Source organism: Homo sapiens, chromosome 12, assembly GCF_000001405.40.
Source record: "Homo sapiens chromosome 12, GRCh38.p14 Primary Assembly".
NCBI lineage: Eukaryota > Metazoa > Chordata > Mammalia > Primates > Hominidae > Homo > Homo sapiens.
The window spans coordinates 126,420,056-126,437,398 of NC_000012.12; the positions used below are offsets into that span (position 1 = coordinate 126,420,056).

Consider the following 17,343-nt stretch of genomic DNA (forward strand, 5'->3'; position numbering starts at 1 on the left):
TTTATAAGGCAGTATATTTCAAACTGCTTTTTTTTTTTTTTTTTTTGAGACAGATTTTCGCTCTTGTTGCCCAGGCTACAGTGCAGTGTCGTGATCTCGGCTCACCGCAATCTCCGCCTCCCGGGTTCAAGCGATTCTTCTGCCTCAGCCTCCCGGGTAGCTGGGATTACAGGCATGCACCAACACACCCAGATAATTTTGTATTTTTAGTAGACACTGGGTTTCTCCATGTTGGCCAGGCTGGTCGCAAACTCCCCACCTCAGGTGATCCGCCCGCCTTGGCCTCCCAAAGTGCTGGGATTACAGGCGTGAGCCACCGCGCCCAGCTCAAATTGCATTTTAAAGACTGCAAGCAAAAATTGCTTTATTTGGGAGTTTCCATTATGATGACACAGCAAAAATCTCAGTGTATCCCCTACAGTCTGGTTCAACACCATCCATCTGACTGAGTCCAGCCCATTTTAGCATGGGACATTGAGTATGTTTTCATAACTGTTATCAAGAAGTATTTTTATGCCGGGTGCAGTGGCTCACGCCTGTAATCCCAGCACTTTGGGAGGCCGAGGCGGGTGGATCATGAGGTCAGGAGATCGAGACCATCCTGGCTAACAAGGTGAAACCCCGTCTCTACTAAAAATACAAAAAATTAGCCGGGCGCGGTGGCGGGCGCCTGTAGTCCCAGCTACTTAGGAGGCTGAGGCGGGAGAAGGGCGTGAACCCGGGAAGCGGAGCTTGCAGTGAGCCGAGATCGCGCCACTGCAGTCCGCAGTCCGGCCTGGGCGACAGAGCAAGACTCCGTCTCAAAAAAAAAAAAAAGAAGTATTTTTATATGCTTCACACTAATTAAAAGATGATAAAGTTTGATATGAGAAATTAAATGACATGTTTGTGCTGGGTAATATTCCAGTGGCCTCTTGGCACATAATATGGTTAATATTTCATTGTGTTAAATTAGAGAAGGGGTTGTAAGAGAGTTGAGTCACTAAAGCATGCCCAGGGCTCTAGACTAACTGAACTAAATATAGCAAACAAGCATAATGGCCTCGACCACAATCATATTGCAAGCAGTGGACAAGTTTCAGAAAAAGCAATACTATTATCACATTTAAATTGAACTGAAATTGGTGTGCAGTTTTGTTTTGCATTTAATGTTTAAATAGATCTTAGTTGTATACTTCTGTAAGGGCAATAAACATAAGATATCTATTCCCAATGTTATGGGTATAAAGATTAGGTAATATAATAATAATTTCAAGGCACAATTAGGGTGTGTACAATTTTTTATTTTTATAAATTCATGGGGTACATGTGCAATGTTGTTACATGCATAGACTTCATAGTGGTCAAGTCAGGGGATTAAGGCATCCATCACTCAAATAACACACATTGTACCCACTGAGCAAGTTCTCATTATCTTCCCTCCTCCCACCCCCTCATCCTTTCTAGTTTCCATTTTCCATCATTCTTTACGTCCAACTGTGCACATTTTTTAGCACCCATTTATGAGTGAGAAGCTGCAATATTTGACGTTCTGTTTCTGGCTTGTTTCAGTTAAGATAATGACCTCCAGTTCCATCCATCTTGCTGTAAAAGACATAATTTAATAACATTCCATTGTGTGTATATGCTTCATTTTCTTTATCCATTTTCCCTTGGATGGACACTTAGGTTGATTCTGTATCTTTGTCATTGTGAATAGTTTTGCAACAAATATATGTGTGCAGGTATCTTTTTGATATAATGATGTATAATTTGATATAATGATTTATTTTCCTTTGGGTAGATACCTAGTAGTGGGATTGCTGGATGGAATGGTAGTTCTATTTTTAGTTCTTTGAAAAATGTTCATACTGTTTTTTGTGGAGTTTGTACTAATTTACACTCCGACCAACAGTGTACAAGGATTCCCTTTTGTCTGCATCTTCATCAATATCTGTTATTTTCTGTCTTTTTAATAATAATCATCAGGGAAATGCAAATGAAAACAAAAAATGAGATATCATCTTATTACCTTTGTCAAAATGGCTACAAGAATTTTTTTAAAGGGAGTACTGATGCATTTAAAAGAAGGTTGAAGTAAACGGCTTTAGACACAGGTCAATGAAATCAGGTGCTTCTGAGCAGGGCCAGGACTGTGCCCATTTCTCATCTTGTCTCCTTCACTAGAAATACGCTTTCATCCTGCTTGATCAGTGGCCTGGGCTTGCCACAGATAAAACTGAAGTGATGTTAGGTTAGCAGCCAGTTGAATGTAGGGCCCTCCAGGATAGACTACAGAGTGGGAGGCAGGAGAGGGGAATGGAAGTGGGTAGAATAGGGAGCTTAGAATAAGGTGGCCTGATGAGTCACACCTGCAACCGACAAGTATCTTCACAGCAGTTCCCAAGACTTCCTGCAAGCTAAAATCACCCAGAAAGATTAAAGCAATCCCATAACCAAAGTTGTATCAGTCAGGGTTCTCTAGAGGGAAAGAACTAATAAGATAGATAGATGTACATATGAAAAAAAGTTTATTAAGGAAAATTGACTCATGCAATCGCAAGGTGAAATCCCACCACAGGCCATCTGTAAGTTAAGGAGCAAGGAAGCCAGTAGTGGATCAGTCCGAGTCCCAAACCTCAAAAGTAGGGAAGCCGACAGTGCAGCCTTCAGTCGTGGCTGAAGGCCCCAGAGCCCTGGCAAACCACTAATATAAGTCCAAGAGCCTAAAAGCCAAAGAACTTGGATTCTGATGTTTAAGGGCAGGGAGCATCCAGCACAGGAGAAAGATGAAGGCCGGAAGATTCAGCAAGTCAAGTCCTTTCAGCTTCTTCCGCCTGCTGTATTCTAGCTGCAGTGGCAGCTGATTGAATAGTGCCCACCCAGATTGAGGGTGGGTCTGCCTCTTCTAGTCCACTCACTCAAATGTTAATCTCCTTTGGCAACACCCTCACAGATACACCCAGGAACAATACTTCATATCCTTTAATCCAATCAAGTTGACATCCAGTATTAACCATCACAAGTCTACCCCTTGTCAACTTGAATCCATATATATCTCCAAATAAAGATGATAAGGTCATAATTATGCCTAAAATAATACAGCTATCCTTCGTACAACCAGAGGTGCATTAATCCTTAGCCTAAATGCTATTACATAAAGTTAACAACACTTAAATGTTGATATGGAGTCAACAAATCTTATGTCACAAGATAAAGGAAAAAGAATGGAAATAAAATGAAGAATTTTCTTAGTGCAAGTGTATACCTGCACAAATATAGTCTTAGCAAAATAAGGAGGACATTTTCAGTCCTCCTTGTCTTACCGTCCCTGTTTCTGCAACTGGCCACACGTTCACCACTAGATAACTAGCTTCTGCCATTACCCATTCTGTATTCCCTTTGCCTTCAGCAAGAACCTCAGCATATTGTGGTTTTTTTTACCTGGTAGAGTGACCCAAACCTTCATTCCTGAAGGATCTGGGCCATGTGTAGTTCTGCTTGGATTGGATTGTAGTTTCCCAATGACCTTAATGACAGGGCTTGGTGATACTGAGAGACTCCCTAAGCCTCAAGTCTTCTCTTACGCAAGGCGATGCAGTTCCAGGTTGTTTGAATGAGCGCCAGGCAGCATTTCCAGCTGCCTGCAGCTGGAAGGATTTCACCTGCCTAGGGCTAGAGCTGGAAATGAAATATTATTGGTTTCTTTTCTCATGGAGCCTTTGGTCTGTACAGAACAGGTGAGACTTGCTTTACGGCCAGGCTCTGGCCCTGGAGAGCAGTGGGCAAGTCAGTACAGAAAAGATGTGATTCCAGCAGCTTCCCCTTGTCTAAGCAAGAAGGCAGAGCATTGAGCCCAGTGCAGAAGTTGGGGTAGTTCTGGGGCCCTGAATTGCTTTGTGTGGCCTGCCTGAGAGGCAGGGACTGTGTTTCATATTTTCTTAAACCACATGTATAAAAGACAGACAATGATTCTACCAATCAGGGTTTCTTAAGGATGCAAAAGACACTTGGTATAATTTGTAAAATACTTAATGTATTACAGTCAATTCTTATTATTTGAGATTGCGCATTCCATCAAGTCATCATAATGAATTAGCGCATGTTGAACCACTGCTTCCAGGAGAAATACAGGGTTAGGTTTCTGGGAGCCACTGGTCCCAACATTCCATCAATCAATACATATACCTGTTTTATGCATATTCCTATTTTGAAGCCACAGATATTATGTTAATAACATTATACATTATGTAATATGAATCATTGACTCTTGTAGAATGAAGACATGGCCAACAGCTCTGTAACTTCTGCCTTTAAGAAGCTGATCTAATACACACATCTCTATAGGCCATATCACAACGTTCTTGAGCCTGAGAACACTAAATAGCACTTGAGCAGTGTGCTTGGGTGTCATTTATAACAGTAAAGTCATCAACATAACGCATAAAAATGAAAAAAAAAGTGGCATTTGATAGACCACAAAAAGATACTTATGTACAGCATGAAAGCTTAAACAAGAAGGCTGAGTTTCACCTTATTCAAAGATAGTGATTTTGGGGTTACAAATAAATTTTAGCATGTAAGCAAATTTGCAAATGCAGAATCCATAAATAATGAGGATCAGTGGGTAGGACTATTACAGGGAAACCCAAAATGCAGTATCCTGAGGACAGCAGCAGTAAGGAACATTGTTGTCATCCCTAGTTCTAAAGGGACAAGGGCTCAGGGAAGTTTCTGGAACCAGGAGAAGAGTACCATAAAGAGAGTGCTGTGTAGACACGGCCACCTGGTGGGAGCTGGCCAGGATTCAGTCAGCAGATATAGTCAGCTTGTGACTAATCCCCCAATGAAATATGAATGTTATTATGAATCCCATTCTGTGTGTGAGTACTCGAAGACACAGAGAGATTGAATAAATTATCCAAGGTCTCACACTGAGCCAGGAAGTTACAGAATAAACATAAAAACCCAAGCAATCAGGCTCTGAAAAAACCTTCTTAATAACTCCGTTGAAAGAATTGTGCAGTCTCTGGGAAAACAAGAAATGGTGAGTGGAGACACACGCACAAGGCCCCTTTAAGTGACCCATGGCAGCCAGAGGAAGATGTTTGTTAGGCTTTGAAGGGAAGGTGGGGGTTAAAGAAAGACACACAGAGAGAGTTGGCGGCTCTACAGCAAATGCAGGTTCTATGTCCAGCATAAGACTGGCAGAGGTGGGGGACCAGCTTAATGCCCACTGCTGCTTACAGGCTGGGGCAATTATAGGCCTGGATGAGAGGGCTCTCAGAGAGGAAGGGGCATGGTCTGCTGCCTGGAAAAATGTTGATAACAAATTCCCATGATGAGGCGGTTTGGCCCCTGTTCTGACGGAATGTGATGTTCCTTGCACTTCTTCCCCCAGAAGGTGATAAAGTCAGGCAGTTGGGCAGGCTGTCATTGCCCGAGCCCCTGTGGAATGTCTCACTTTGGCCAAGGTCTGTGAAATGGTGTGGGGGCGGAGGGTGCTTAGAAAATGGTGCAGCTTAGACTAGAGGTGTTTCCCTATTGGTTTCGGAGCAACGCGTTGACATCCCCACTAAAATTTCTTGAGTATTTTGAATTGTTAAAATCTAAGAAGGTAGAAAAAAGCAAAACCAATATGTTTTTTTCTTCTCATCATAGGGGCTTTCATTTATGCATGGACACATTCATTATTGAACCCCACTTCTGTGCCATGCACTTTACCAGGTGCTCAGTAAACACATTAATAAAGCAGGCATGGTTTATCCCGAGACGACATGCACTGAGAGGACGTTTCTGTTTTCCAACAGGAGCACAGTTCAGCACAGCACTGGTTCAGCATGGGCCAATTCCTTGCCCTGACATTGTAGGACATTGTGAAGCCTCCACCTGGGTCACAATGACCCTCGGTACCTGTTAATGTATGCACCTTCATCATGAACCCGGAGTATTAAACAACAAATGAGGCTTCCTGCAGTCACTAAGGATCACGATTCTAAATAAATCTGAGAAGCTCAGCAATAGAGGTCGCCCCCTCCCCCGGGCGGAGTCCTTGATATCTGAAACAAGGCTTCACATCATCTGGCATTAAACTATGGGGCTGCTTGAAGGCAGAATTTGTCTTATTCTGATGTAGGATGACCAAAACATCTGGAGAAACAAATTGGGGTGAGCCCTCTCCAAGCGTGTTAATAAAATACTAGTTGTCAGCATAAGACAGACAACAAGGCAAGGTCAGTAAGGCCTGGGGCTTAATTGATTTGTCTTCCAGGAAATTAAGGGAGTGAGCACAGGGACTCACACCCAGATATCAGGTGGAACAGTCATTAAAAGCCTATTAGAGGAACCGATCCAGTCAAAAGACCTAAAATAAGCAAAGAAAGAGGATATTTCTTCACCACAAGCTCTATCTCAATCTGCTTCTTCATACAAACATCCTTTTTGTTTTACTGTGCCCAAAATAATTAATATACTAGGACAACTTGAAGTGCAAAAACTCCTGTGTCTGAAGTGAGAGGCTACTGTACAGATAAGGGAAAGTCAAGTTCTCAAACTCTAGATTCTAGAACCTAGAAGACTGAAAGGGATTTCTTCTCTAGGCACAAGGTTTATTCTAGGTGAGATGTTAGAATCCATATGATTGCCGAGTGTGGTGGCTCATACCTGTAATCCCAGCACTTTGGGAGGCCAAGGCAGGAGGATTGCTTGAGCCCAGGAGTTCAAGACCAGCCTGAGCAACATGGCAAGACCCTGTCTCTACAAAAAAAAAAAAAACATTAAAAAATAGCCTGGCAGGGTGGTGCATGCCTGTGATTCCATCTACTCAGGAGGCTGAGGCGGGAGGATTATTTGAGCCCAAGAGGTAATGGTTGCAGTGAGCCATAATCACATGATTGCACTCAGCCTGGGCAATAGGGCAAGATCCTGTCTCAAAAAAAAAAAAAAATTAGAATGTGTTTTATAATGTCTCAATATCTGGAAATGTGTGGCAGAGATAGAAACATACATATATCAGTGAGATTTTTATTTCTCAGATTCACCCACAGCTAAACTGGGGGTCATGTGACTCACTCTGGGAAAGCAAGTGATGCCTATCACTTCTGGAATGAGGTATTTAAAAGCTGATGTACTTTTTTATCTCTCTCTCTTTTCCCTTGCTACAAAGACCCAGAAGCCACTTGCTCCACATCTGCAGTTACAAGGCAGAACAAATTTGCCAGAACCAAGCTACAGGTACTACTATGAATTTAGTGTGTATTGGTAGTTGGTGATAAACCCCCTGACTAATCCAAAATATGTCTTTCCAATTCGTTCTCAAAAGCCCAAACCAGTAATATAGAAATGGCTGTTTTTCCAGGCAACAAAATCCAGAAATAGAGTTCCTCTGTTTCAGCCCGAGGCTACTGTATAGGAGGCAGAAATGTTTGTTATTAGATTCTAAAATAGTAACAATACATCCACGGTGGCACAATTCCCAAATCTGATGGAAGGTCGGAGCTCTCTGGGCTTATAGTGATGAATTAAGTTCACATGAGCTAAGCAGATTCAATAAATCATAAGAAGATTCTATTGACTATACTGTGAATAAAGCTTGAGCCAGAAGCCTGACATTATATACAACTTAAACTAAGAATAATAGTTCCTTCTCTGGTCATTTACCCGATAGGTAGAATAAAATATCAGAGCTGAAGGAGCTTTCAAAAATGATCCTAATGAATCCCCTTGGTTTAGTCCCAAGATTTATTATGTTCCATGGGCTTTGATGGACACGGAGATAAAGGATACATGACACCCAACACCTTTCCGCACGCTTATAGTTTACATAAAAAATATTCAGAAACTAAAAATTGACAGACGCATACATTAGGTTTATATAAAGGGTACTATGCAGACTTAGAAAGGGGGTACCTAGCTCAGCTTGGAGTTCAGATAAAGCTTCCAGAAACAATGAGAACCAAGTTAGATTATGAAGAATGTCAGGCAGAAAATATAGAGATTTTCCAAAAAGAGGAAATCTGTGAGCAAAGGAGTAAAACTATGAAACAGCATGGCACAGAAACCTCAGATGCATGCATGGCCCTTTCTGTGTTTCACAGGTTGATCTCAATTCTTTCTACATCAAATTTAGTTGGATATTGCTTAAGTGTAAAATGGAGAAATGGTGGTGTACAAAGTTGGATAATATAGACCAGAAGGGAAATCTACTTAGTGAAGGTAGGTTATTAGTAAATGTTTTATTTGTTTGAAGGGCTTTAGAGGCATTAGTATGTGGTAATATAAGAATCCTAGTATAATTTTAAATAGGTTGTATTAAATTAGTAGGTTTAGGGGAAGACATCTTAGTAAGAAATGGTATGAAAATACAGGCAAGAAAATAAAGAAGCAATACTGGGGAGACTACATCCTTCTAAGGACAAAAATTACGGGATCCAAGTATGTTAGTTGAGTCTAACCTGGTGGGTGAAGATATCTCAGGATGAGTAGTTACGTCTACATCAGCCTTGCTTAAAAGATCCCCTCCTTGTGATAATGATATTATACATCAACACCAATGCACAGGAAATAAATGAAAGTGAGTGGTGCCATGATACCTGGTGTTGCAGGTTCCACTTTGGAAGAGGGTCTGAATTAAAGTTTGGGAAGGGTTTTTTCTAAAGATAGAGAGTGAATTCCTATAAGAAAGAGCCTGGGTAGTCAAGGCATGAGATGCACCGAGCCTGGGAGCCTGGGAGCCTGGGAGTGTTTGGACCTTGCCTTCAGAAATCACACGGGGATCCAGAGGTGTTAATTAAGTACAGGGAAGTCGAGGAGGCTGAATCATGAACTCTCACAGACAGAGTCCTGATGGAAGAATTTACCCAAAACTCTTAGATGACTTAGCAACAGCTCTTCAGTGACAGGCACCCCAAACCAGACATGTGTATGACGTCATCGGGCTCCACGCACTAATTTCAAAGTGAGGAAGGCTCAGTTGTTCCCTGGGGAAAGTAAGATTTTAATCTGATTTTTTATTTTCCTCATGCTTCCTTTTTATCCCTCTGACCTTGTTTTTTCTTATCACTGAAATGAGATATATTCACTTTGCACAAGTAGCAATGTTGTATGTAAGAGCATCTCTGATCATCTACAGATGGCCTGATTCTCAAATTGCAGGCTTTAATTTTTGAATAAAATGTCATGTGTTTCAAATCTTGGAACATTTTCAATAAAAAGAAAATCATTTTGAGAAATAGTTTGTGCATATGGTTAAATATTAAATCTGTGTTAAGATGGGATTTTAGATGTTTTCAAATATGGTGTGGAATGGCAATCCTTCAATAATATCCTAAATATATAAAGAACTCTTAGAAATAAAAAAGAAACAAACAAAACAAAATTTAAAATGTGAGTAGGTATTTCTTCTTTACCAAAGAAGAAATAGAACTGAAAAATAAACCTCAACATTTTCAATAACAAAACACATTACAGGTACATTTATACTCATAATATTTTAAATTAGATATATAATTTTACACACAGAATATTAATAATCCAAGCTTGAAAAGTACATTGGATATTAGTACAAACTGCTGGGGTGCATTAGTCTTTTCTCATGTCACTAATAAAGACATACACGAGACTGAGTAATTTATAAAGGAAAGAGGTTTAATTGACTCACAGTTCCACATAGCTGGGGAAGATTCACAATCATGGTGCAAGGCAAAGGAGGAGCAAAGGCATGTCCTACATGGCAGCAGGCAAGAGAATCTGTGTAGGGGAACTGCCATGTATGAAACCATCAGATCTCATGAGACTTATTCACTATTACAGGAATAGCATGGGAAAAACCCACCCTCATTAATCAATTACCTTGCACTGGGTCCCTCCCATGACACATGGGGATTATGGGAGATACAATTCAAGATGAGATTTGGGTGGGGACACAGCCAAACCATAACATGGGGAGATTGTATATTAGTGAAACTTTTCCTAAGGCACTTTTGCAATATGTTTCAAAAACTTGAACAATATATAACCTTTAATCTAGCTGTCTTATATTTGCGATATTAACCCTAAGATTTTATTCACATATTTTGGTTCTTTTTACATTGCTTAAAATAAAAATTGGGAACAAACTAAATGTCTAAAATTCATGAATGAGTCAAATTTGAGTTAAATGCATACAAGGTTGCAAACTGGAAGCTAGGAGGACAATACAGCCTAGAGGTATTTTTTCTGTGGCCAACTCAGTGATTTTTTTTAAAAGTTCATTTACTTGCCAATATTTATAAATATGCTTTTAAAATAAATCCTGGAATGTTGGTTTGCCTCAAAACACCAGAACATCCATAAACACTGCATCTTAACATGACAGAAATTGGCCACGGTAAAATATGAACTGCTTTCCTTAGACTGTGTAAGCATTTTCCTGTTTATTCCAGTACCCATCACTCTATTGATATACACTTAATCATTACTTCAATCATTTCCATCACCTGTCTGGATATTGAAGTATTTAAGTTCATGGTTCCTGGTGTATATAAAACATAGCTCATTTATATAATGTAATATTAGCCAGCCACTAAAAAGAAGGTACTGCTGAAAAATACTAATAGAAAAAGATATGCATGATATTAAAAAACAAACATGTTATCAACTATTGTTTACAACAGAATTATTTTCTTGACTCCAAAATGCAAAGAGTAAAAGACTAGAAGATTTGAATCCAAATCGTAACAGAGGCTGTCTCTGACTGTTAGAACAGCTGGCAGTTTTTATTTTCTTCCTTCTCCTTATCTGTGATTTCCAAATGTTCCACAATGTGCACCTTTGCCTTCATCTCATTTTCCTCCTCGTCTCCTGCCTCTACGCACTCACCCCAGGGCCTTGGCTGCTCCCTGGAGTGCTCTGCTACAGGTCTCTGTCTTGACCTTTCTTGGCTCCAGTGACATCCTATGTCTGACTCCATGGAAGCTGATAGTAAGAGCAAAGCCTTGTTGGCAGTGTCCAGTTCTGCTCCTCCATCTTGGAGCTCAGCTCTCTGAGTCTCCATTACTTAATGTTAGCTTGAGCATTGTGAAACCTTAATAACAGGCTGCAAGACTCAGAGATCTGAAACGTGTAACAAGATTATCTGTTGGGAAATAATTGTAACAGGACATGGAAGGGAGAGAAAGCGAGACTCAGAGAGAGAGAAAAAGATATTGCTCTTACCATCTTCATTGTATCCATGACTGGCATACAATTTTGATTGATAAAAATCTTTCTGCAGGGAATTTCTCCCTGGCCTGCTGAGAGGAGAAAACACATCTGTCCTAGGTGTGTAAATAATTGCATCCTTTGCTTCTCTACAGAGTCAGCAATGTGGCATTTCATTTCTAATTATGGGCACTGAGGTCAGTCCTCCCTGAGTTTCTAAAACACCACCTCAGTGGGCTCCCAATGCTGGGATTAAAGCCCTGAAAAAAAAAAATAATTCTCACATTTTCCCTTCTTGTTTGGGCTTATATTCTGATGACCTTAAAAAATACAGGATGCTTTTACTAATCCTAATCTACATATGACTGTGAAAATGCACAGTTATCTTAGAGCAGCAAGGGAAAAAAAGAAAATATTAAAGTGAAGAAACGTTCCTCCCTCGCAGGGAAAACTTTTTAAAATACCTCAGTGTCATGTTTTTTAACCATAAGCAAAGATTCTATTTTAATTAAAACCACCACCATTTCTCCTTCCTCAAAAGTACTTCTACGAGAAGCAACGGCCTCTTTTCCGCTCTAGCCTGCTGGAAGTGAACTCACGATTCTGCAAAGGTCTTTTCTCTACCTTGGTTTTTTCAGCAGACATCCCTGTTGCTATGTGTCTGAAGAGATGCCACAGCTGCTGATATGCTAATTCCTGCTTACTTCCAAATAGGCCTGGGTTTGTTTTGTACTTCATCAGCTGTCTACAAAGACGTTTGAGAAATAACTCCAGGTCTTTACAAAGAGAACACAGTAGTGTCTTACTGTGGGCTTTTGAAGCATCAGCACAGAGAAGAGCTCTGTAGAGAGCAGATGTTGCCCGCAGCCTTTGGGACTCCATTCCTTGGCTCAACAAAGATGGGTTACTTTTGCAATTAGAAAAAGACAAAAGAGGCAAACGATTAATACATGTATGCTCTTTAGCCTAGGAGGCAAAAAAATCATCATTTGATGATTTTTATCCCATTGTTCTCACTTATGAAAAATAAGAGATACTAAGCCCACACACACAGACAGACACTCAAAAATGCACGGCTTCTTTTGAAATACTGGAATACAGGCAATACTGAGTTCACATATCCCATGGGCACATGTACGGGAGCTGAGTAACAGGCATCCTTTCGGCGGCATGAATGTTCAAGTTCACCAGTGTCCCCTACTTAGAGGTCCATGTTGCTGCACTGTGTACTTTCACTCATGTGTGTTATCTACTGAGTGATTGTAGACACTTGTGGTGTTGATTTTTTTTTTTTTTTTTAGAAAGGATATCCCGCTGTCACCCAAGCTGGAGTGCAGTGGTGCAATCACAGCTCACTGTAGCCTCGACCTCCCAGGCTCAAGCTGATCCCCCTCAGCCTCCTGAGTAGCTGCGACCACAGGTGCATGCCACCCCACCTGGATAATATTTTAATGATTTTAGTAGAGACAGGGTCTCCCTGTGTTACTCAGGCTGATCTTGAGCTCCTGGACTCGGGCAATCCTCCTCCCTGGCCTCTGTAGACATTTGAACGTGTGATCCTGATAAATTTTTGAACATGTTTTGTTAATTTAATTAGAATAGAAAGTTAAGAAATTTGCAAGGCACAATAACTCTGGAACTAAAGACGCCAAGCTGATACTCTATCCCTGATGATTGCCAGAAACTACCTTCTTAGTAATCACACCATGATGCTATTTGCTCTTTTACTCTTTCTCCCATGAGTGTGCAGTGGAGTTTCTCAGAGGCTACAAGATACTGCAACAGAATGAACACACACACAGCTGTTTCCTATTAAGTTGTACAAAGAAGAGATTAGTAAACATGCAAAATACTTCCATTCTCCTCCCTCACTTTTTTGGAATAAGTTATTTCTATAAAAATAGGCTGTTTATATTACCATGTAATGTATTTAGTATTTTTAAAAACAGGCATCAAAGGCATTTCTGTTTTAATTTCTAATATAATAAATATTGATGGATAGGACCCTCAATAAATAAAAGTCCTTTAGAGTTATTAATAATATGTAACAGTATAAAGGGGTCCTGGGGCTAAAATAATTGACATTTACTGATTTAGGGCCATATGAGAAGTGTAACTACTTTCTTTCAGTGCCTTTCTCTGAACTTAAGATTTTCTGAACATTCCAAGCTATTTGCGATTTGCGCATGTGCTAATGGTTTCTTATTTATTACACAAGCATTTTATTTTTTATTTTTAAGTTCAGGGTACAAGTGCAGGTTTGTTCCATAGGTAAACTTGTGTCATGGGTGTCTGTTGTACAGATTATTTTATTGCCCAGGTATTAAGCCTAGTACCCATTAGTTATTTTTCCTGATCCCCTCCCTCTGCCAACCCTTCACCCTCTGAAAGGCACAAACATTTTAATAAGCAGGTTCTTACTGAGACAAATATGTATGTATGCATGTATGTGCATATGTGTATATATGTATATGTGCATATGTATATGTGTACACACACACACACACCTTTCTTTGCAATTCTGCAAACTTAGTTCTGGATTCATGAAGCCTGTTACTTTCTCTTTATGTTGCTCTTATTCAGTTCATCCTCCTCCCTGAAATTACAGATGTTAGAGATGGAAAGTAATGAATACAGTTCACCGTAGTCTTTTATTTTACAGATGGGGAAACTGAGGCCTGGAGTAACCAGTCATATTGCTTCCATGCTGGGAACTCTCCAATGACATATCGCACAATACAGAGCCAACCTCAAGTTCCCCACCATAGACCACAAGGACTTGCAAGTTCTAACCTTGCCCAATCTCCCTTATACGCCCTCAGTCCATGTGCCTCTGTGATGATGGATTGGGTCCTTCTTGGCTTCCTCCAAAGGGGCAGAACTGCTCTGGAAGGTTCCTCATGGCATTGGCAATGATCTTATTCTATGCTGCTTAAAGAGATTAAATTGACTTTGCTCTTGTTACATAATTAATGGTTAAGAATAAAATTCTGAACATTTTCAAGGAAACTTTTAATCCTAAAGCAGGTTTTGTATGCCTAAGCTTTGGTATGTTTTCCCACTCAACACTCAGAAATAAGCAGGGAACTTTCTAAAATAAATAACTGTTATTCTTTTTCCCCCAGGACTTACATTTTATCTATAAATGCATTTGTCTTTTAGTTTAGTTTATTTAGGTAGAATTAAAGTAGTTTTAACTTAGTTTTCCCAATGAAATTAGATTTTAGGTACATGAGAAAAAGATTAGTAAATCAAAGACCATTTAATTACTATTGATTGAGGTGGTCACTATTGTCATCTACCCTCTCAGCCAACTTTGTCTTTATTTAATGGGTGCTGAATGAAATCGCTCAAGTGTACAGGAAAGTCTTTTGACACTCGTATCTTGTCTAATGAAACAATGCATTTGATCTTGGGTTCCCACAATGGCCTGGTTTGCATCTTAAATCCTGATTTACTGTACTCAGTGAAGAAGAACACATTCATTCACCCTCTGGGGCTTTTCTCTGCCCATTGTTTCTTGAGTTTATATTTTCCTGCCCATTAAGCAGAAAAGGCTACAGCAGCTGCCCATCCTCTAAAGCACTGGACCTGTTTTCTCTGCCAGTCCCTGGATCGTGATAGATGATCACACTCTAGCCCTGCTCACTTGTGCATCCAGACCCTGCAGCTTCTCATTGCAGGATATCTCGCTCTATCACGCACACAGCTCAGTCCCCTTCTCCTGGGCTTCCCCAGCCCCACCACTGAGAGCCTGGCAAAAACAAACAAACAAACAAACAGCAACCAAAAAAACCCAAAAACAAACAAAATAAAAAGTAACAAAACATATAGGCACAATGATATTTGTGATATTTGTGAGAGCATCATTAACACAGAAAACTAGGGAAAGAAACTAGGCAAATGCAGTTGGGACTACCAGTATTTTCTCAAGGATTCTACAGCACCCAGGGTCCCAGGAACAATCCCTTACTCAAAAGAGAGGAAGTCAGCTGCAAGACGGATGGGCCATAGGAGTTTTTGTTTGAAACCCTGTTTTTCATTTTTTTGGGTACCCACCTAGGAGTGGAATTGCTGGGCCATATGATAACTCTACGTTTAGCTTATTGAGGAACCAACAAACTGTTTCTATAGAGGCTGCACCATGTTACATTCTTACTAGCAATGAATAAGGGCTCCAATTTCTCCATATCATCACCATCACTTGCCATTTTCCTTCTTTCTTTCCCTCTTTCTTTTTTCTTTTCTGCCTGTCTTTCCTTCTTTCTTTTGCTTTTCAATTTTTCATGGCCATCCTAGTGTGTGTGAAGTGATATCTCAATATGGTTTTGATTTGCATTTTCCTAATGAGTGATGTCATGGAGAATCTTTTCATATATTTGTTGGTCATTTGTACATCTTCTTTGGAGAAACGTATATTTACCTTGTCAATTTAAAAACTGGTATTTGTCTTTTCTGAGTTGGAATTTTAAAATATATTCTAGATAGGCCGGGTGTGGTGGCTCACACCTGTAATCCCAGCACTTTGGGAGGCCGAGGCGGGTGGATCACGAGATCAGGAGATCGAGACCATCCTGGCAAACACAGTGAAACCCCATCTGTACTAAGAAATACAAAAAATTAGCTGGGCGTGGTGGTGGGCACCTGTAGTCCCAGCTACTTGGGAGGCTGAGGCAGGAGAATGGTGTGAACCCGGGAGGCAGAGCTTGCAGTGAGTGGAGACTGAGCCACTGCACTCCAGCCTGGGCAACAGAGCAAGACTCTGTCTCAAAAAAAAAAAAAAAAAAAATATATATATATATATATATATTCTAGATAATAGACTCTTATCATATGGAATATCCAGAAGAAGCAAATCCACAGGGATGAAAACAGATGTGTCATTGCTAAGGACTAGGGAGGAAAGGAATAGGAAGTGATGGCTTAATGGGTAGGAGGTTTTTCTTTGGGTGACACAAATTTCTAGAAACTACATACTAGTAATGATTGCACAACATTATGAATGCATTTGATGCCATCGCAGCATACACTTTAAAATGCTTAAATTTGGCCAGGCATGGTGGCTTATGCCTGTAATCCCAACACTCTGGGAGGCTGAGGCGAGAGGATTGTTTGAGCCCAAGAGTTCAAGTCCAGTGTGGGCAAGGTGGTGAAACCCCATCTCTGCAAAACAAATACAAAAATTAGCCGGGTGTGGTGGTGCATGCCTGTAGTCCCAGTTACTCAGGAAGTTGAGGTGGGAGAATTGCTTGCTTGAGCCTGGGAGGCTGAAGCTGCATTGAGCCCAGATTGTGCCACTTAACTCCAGCCTGAGTGATAGAATGAGACCCAGGCTCATACATAATAATAAAATAAAGTGCTTAAAATGGTAAATTTTGTTATGTGTATTTTGTAAAAATTAAAAACAACACATGACGAAGAGATTAATGGGGCACTCTTTGCCTGGTGAATTTTACTGTTGGAGAACCCTGAAGGGGAAATTGTCTCTTGGGACTGTTGGTCATACTTCACTGAAGCCATGTGCAGTGGTGGGACTCGATTTGAAAACAGCTACTCTAGAGATCAAAAGGCGAAGAAAATAGAATGCTGGGGGGTGTCTCCATGGCACAAGAGTGGGCAGGACATGTACAAAAAAGTCCAACAGGATTCAATGTGATCAGGAGAGGATTCACTGACAAACAACAAACAGAAAAAAAATGCAAAGGAAGACAAACATAATAAACAACCTGTGGACAGTGGGGCTCTGATGCACTGTCTCCCCCAGACATGCAGGAATCAGGCAGAAATGAAGTTCCCCGCTCAACATGCCCTTTCTGTCTTCAACACCATGCAGTCTCAATAGCAGAGGTAGCATCCTTACAGGAGCAAAATTTGCTGGTGGGGTTGTTAGGGAGCACAAAATAATGCAAGCCTAGATGCAGTATACAAACAGATATGCAATACATCTGCAGCATAAACATTTCATGGAGGGAGGGAAATGATTAGGAAATAGTCTTAAAAGTCTCCTCAGGCTGAGAGAGGTCAATAATGAAAAACAAAGTTGAAACACTGCCTTACACAACAGCCACACACAAACACACAAACACACACACAATCGTAAAACAGAATAACAGCAAAAACATCTAGTTATAATAAAACAACGCAATAGACAGATCATGTGTGAAAACCCTGAAAAAGCAAGTCAGC

General features: G+C 40.4%; 2 long non-coding RNA genes across 2 annotated transcripts in view; one reads left to right on the top strand and one right to left on the bottom strand.

Annotated features, from left to right (window-relative positions):
• LINC02825 (long intergenic non-protein coding RNA 2825) overlaps positions 1-17,343 on the bottom strand; it is a 48,536-nt gene that overhangs the window by 19,264 nt on the left and 11,929 nt on the right. The gene's annotated exons all lie outside the window — the stretch shown is intronic.
• Positions 6,091-14,172, top strand: LINC02350 (long intergenic non-protein coding RNA 2350). Its single transcript, NR_146291.1, has 3 exons — positions 6,091-6,147; positions 7,145-7,212; positions 13,820-14,172. It is a non-coding gene; the product is annotated as a long intergenic non-protein coding RNA 2350 (long non-coding RNA).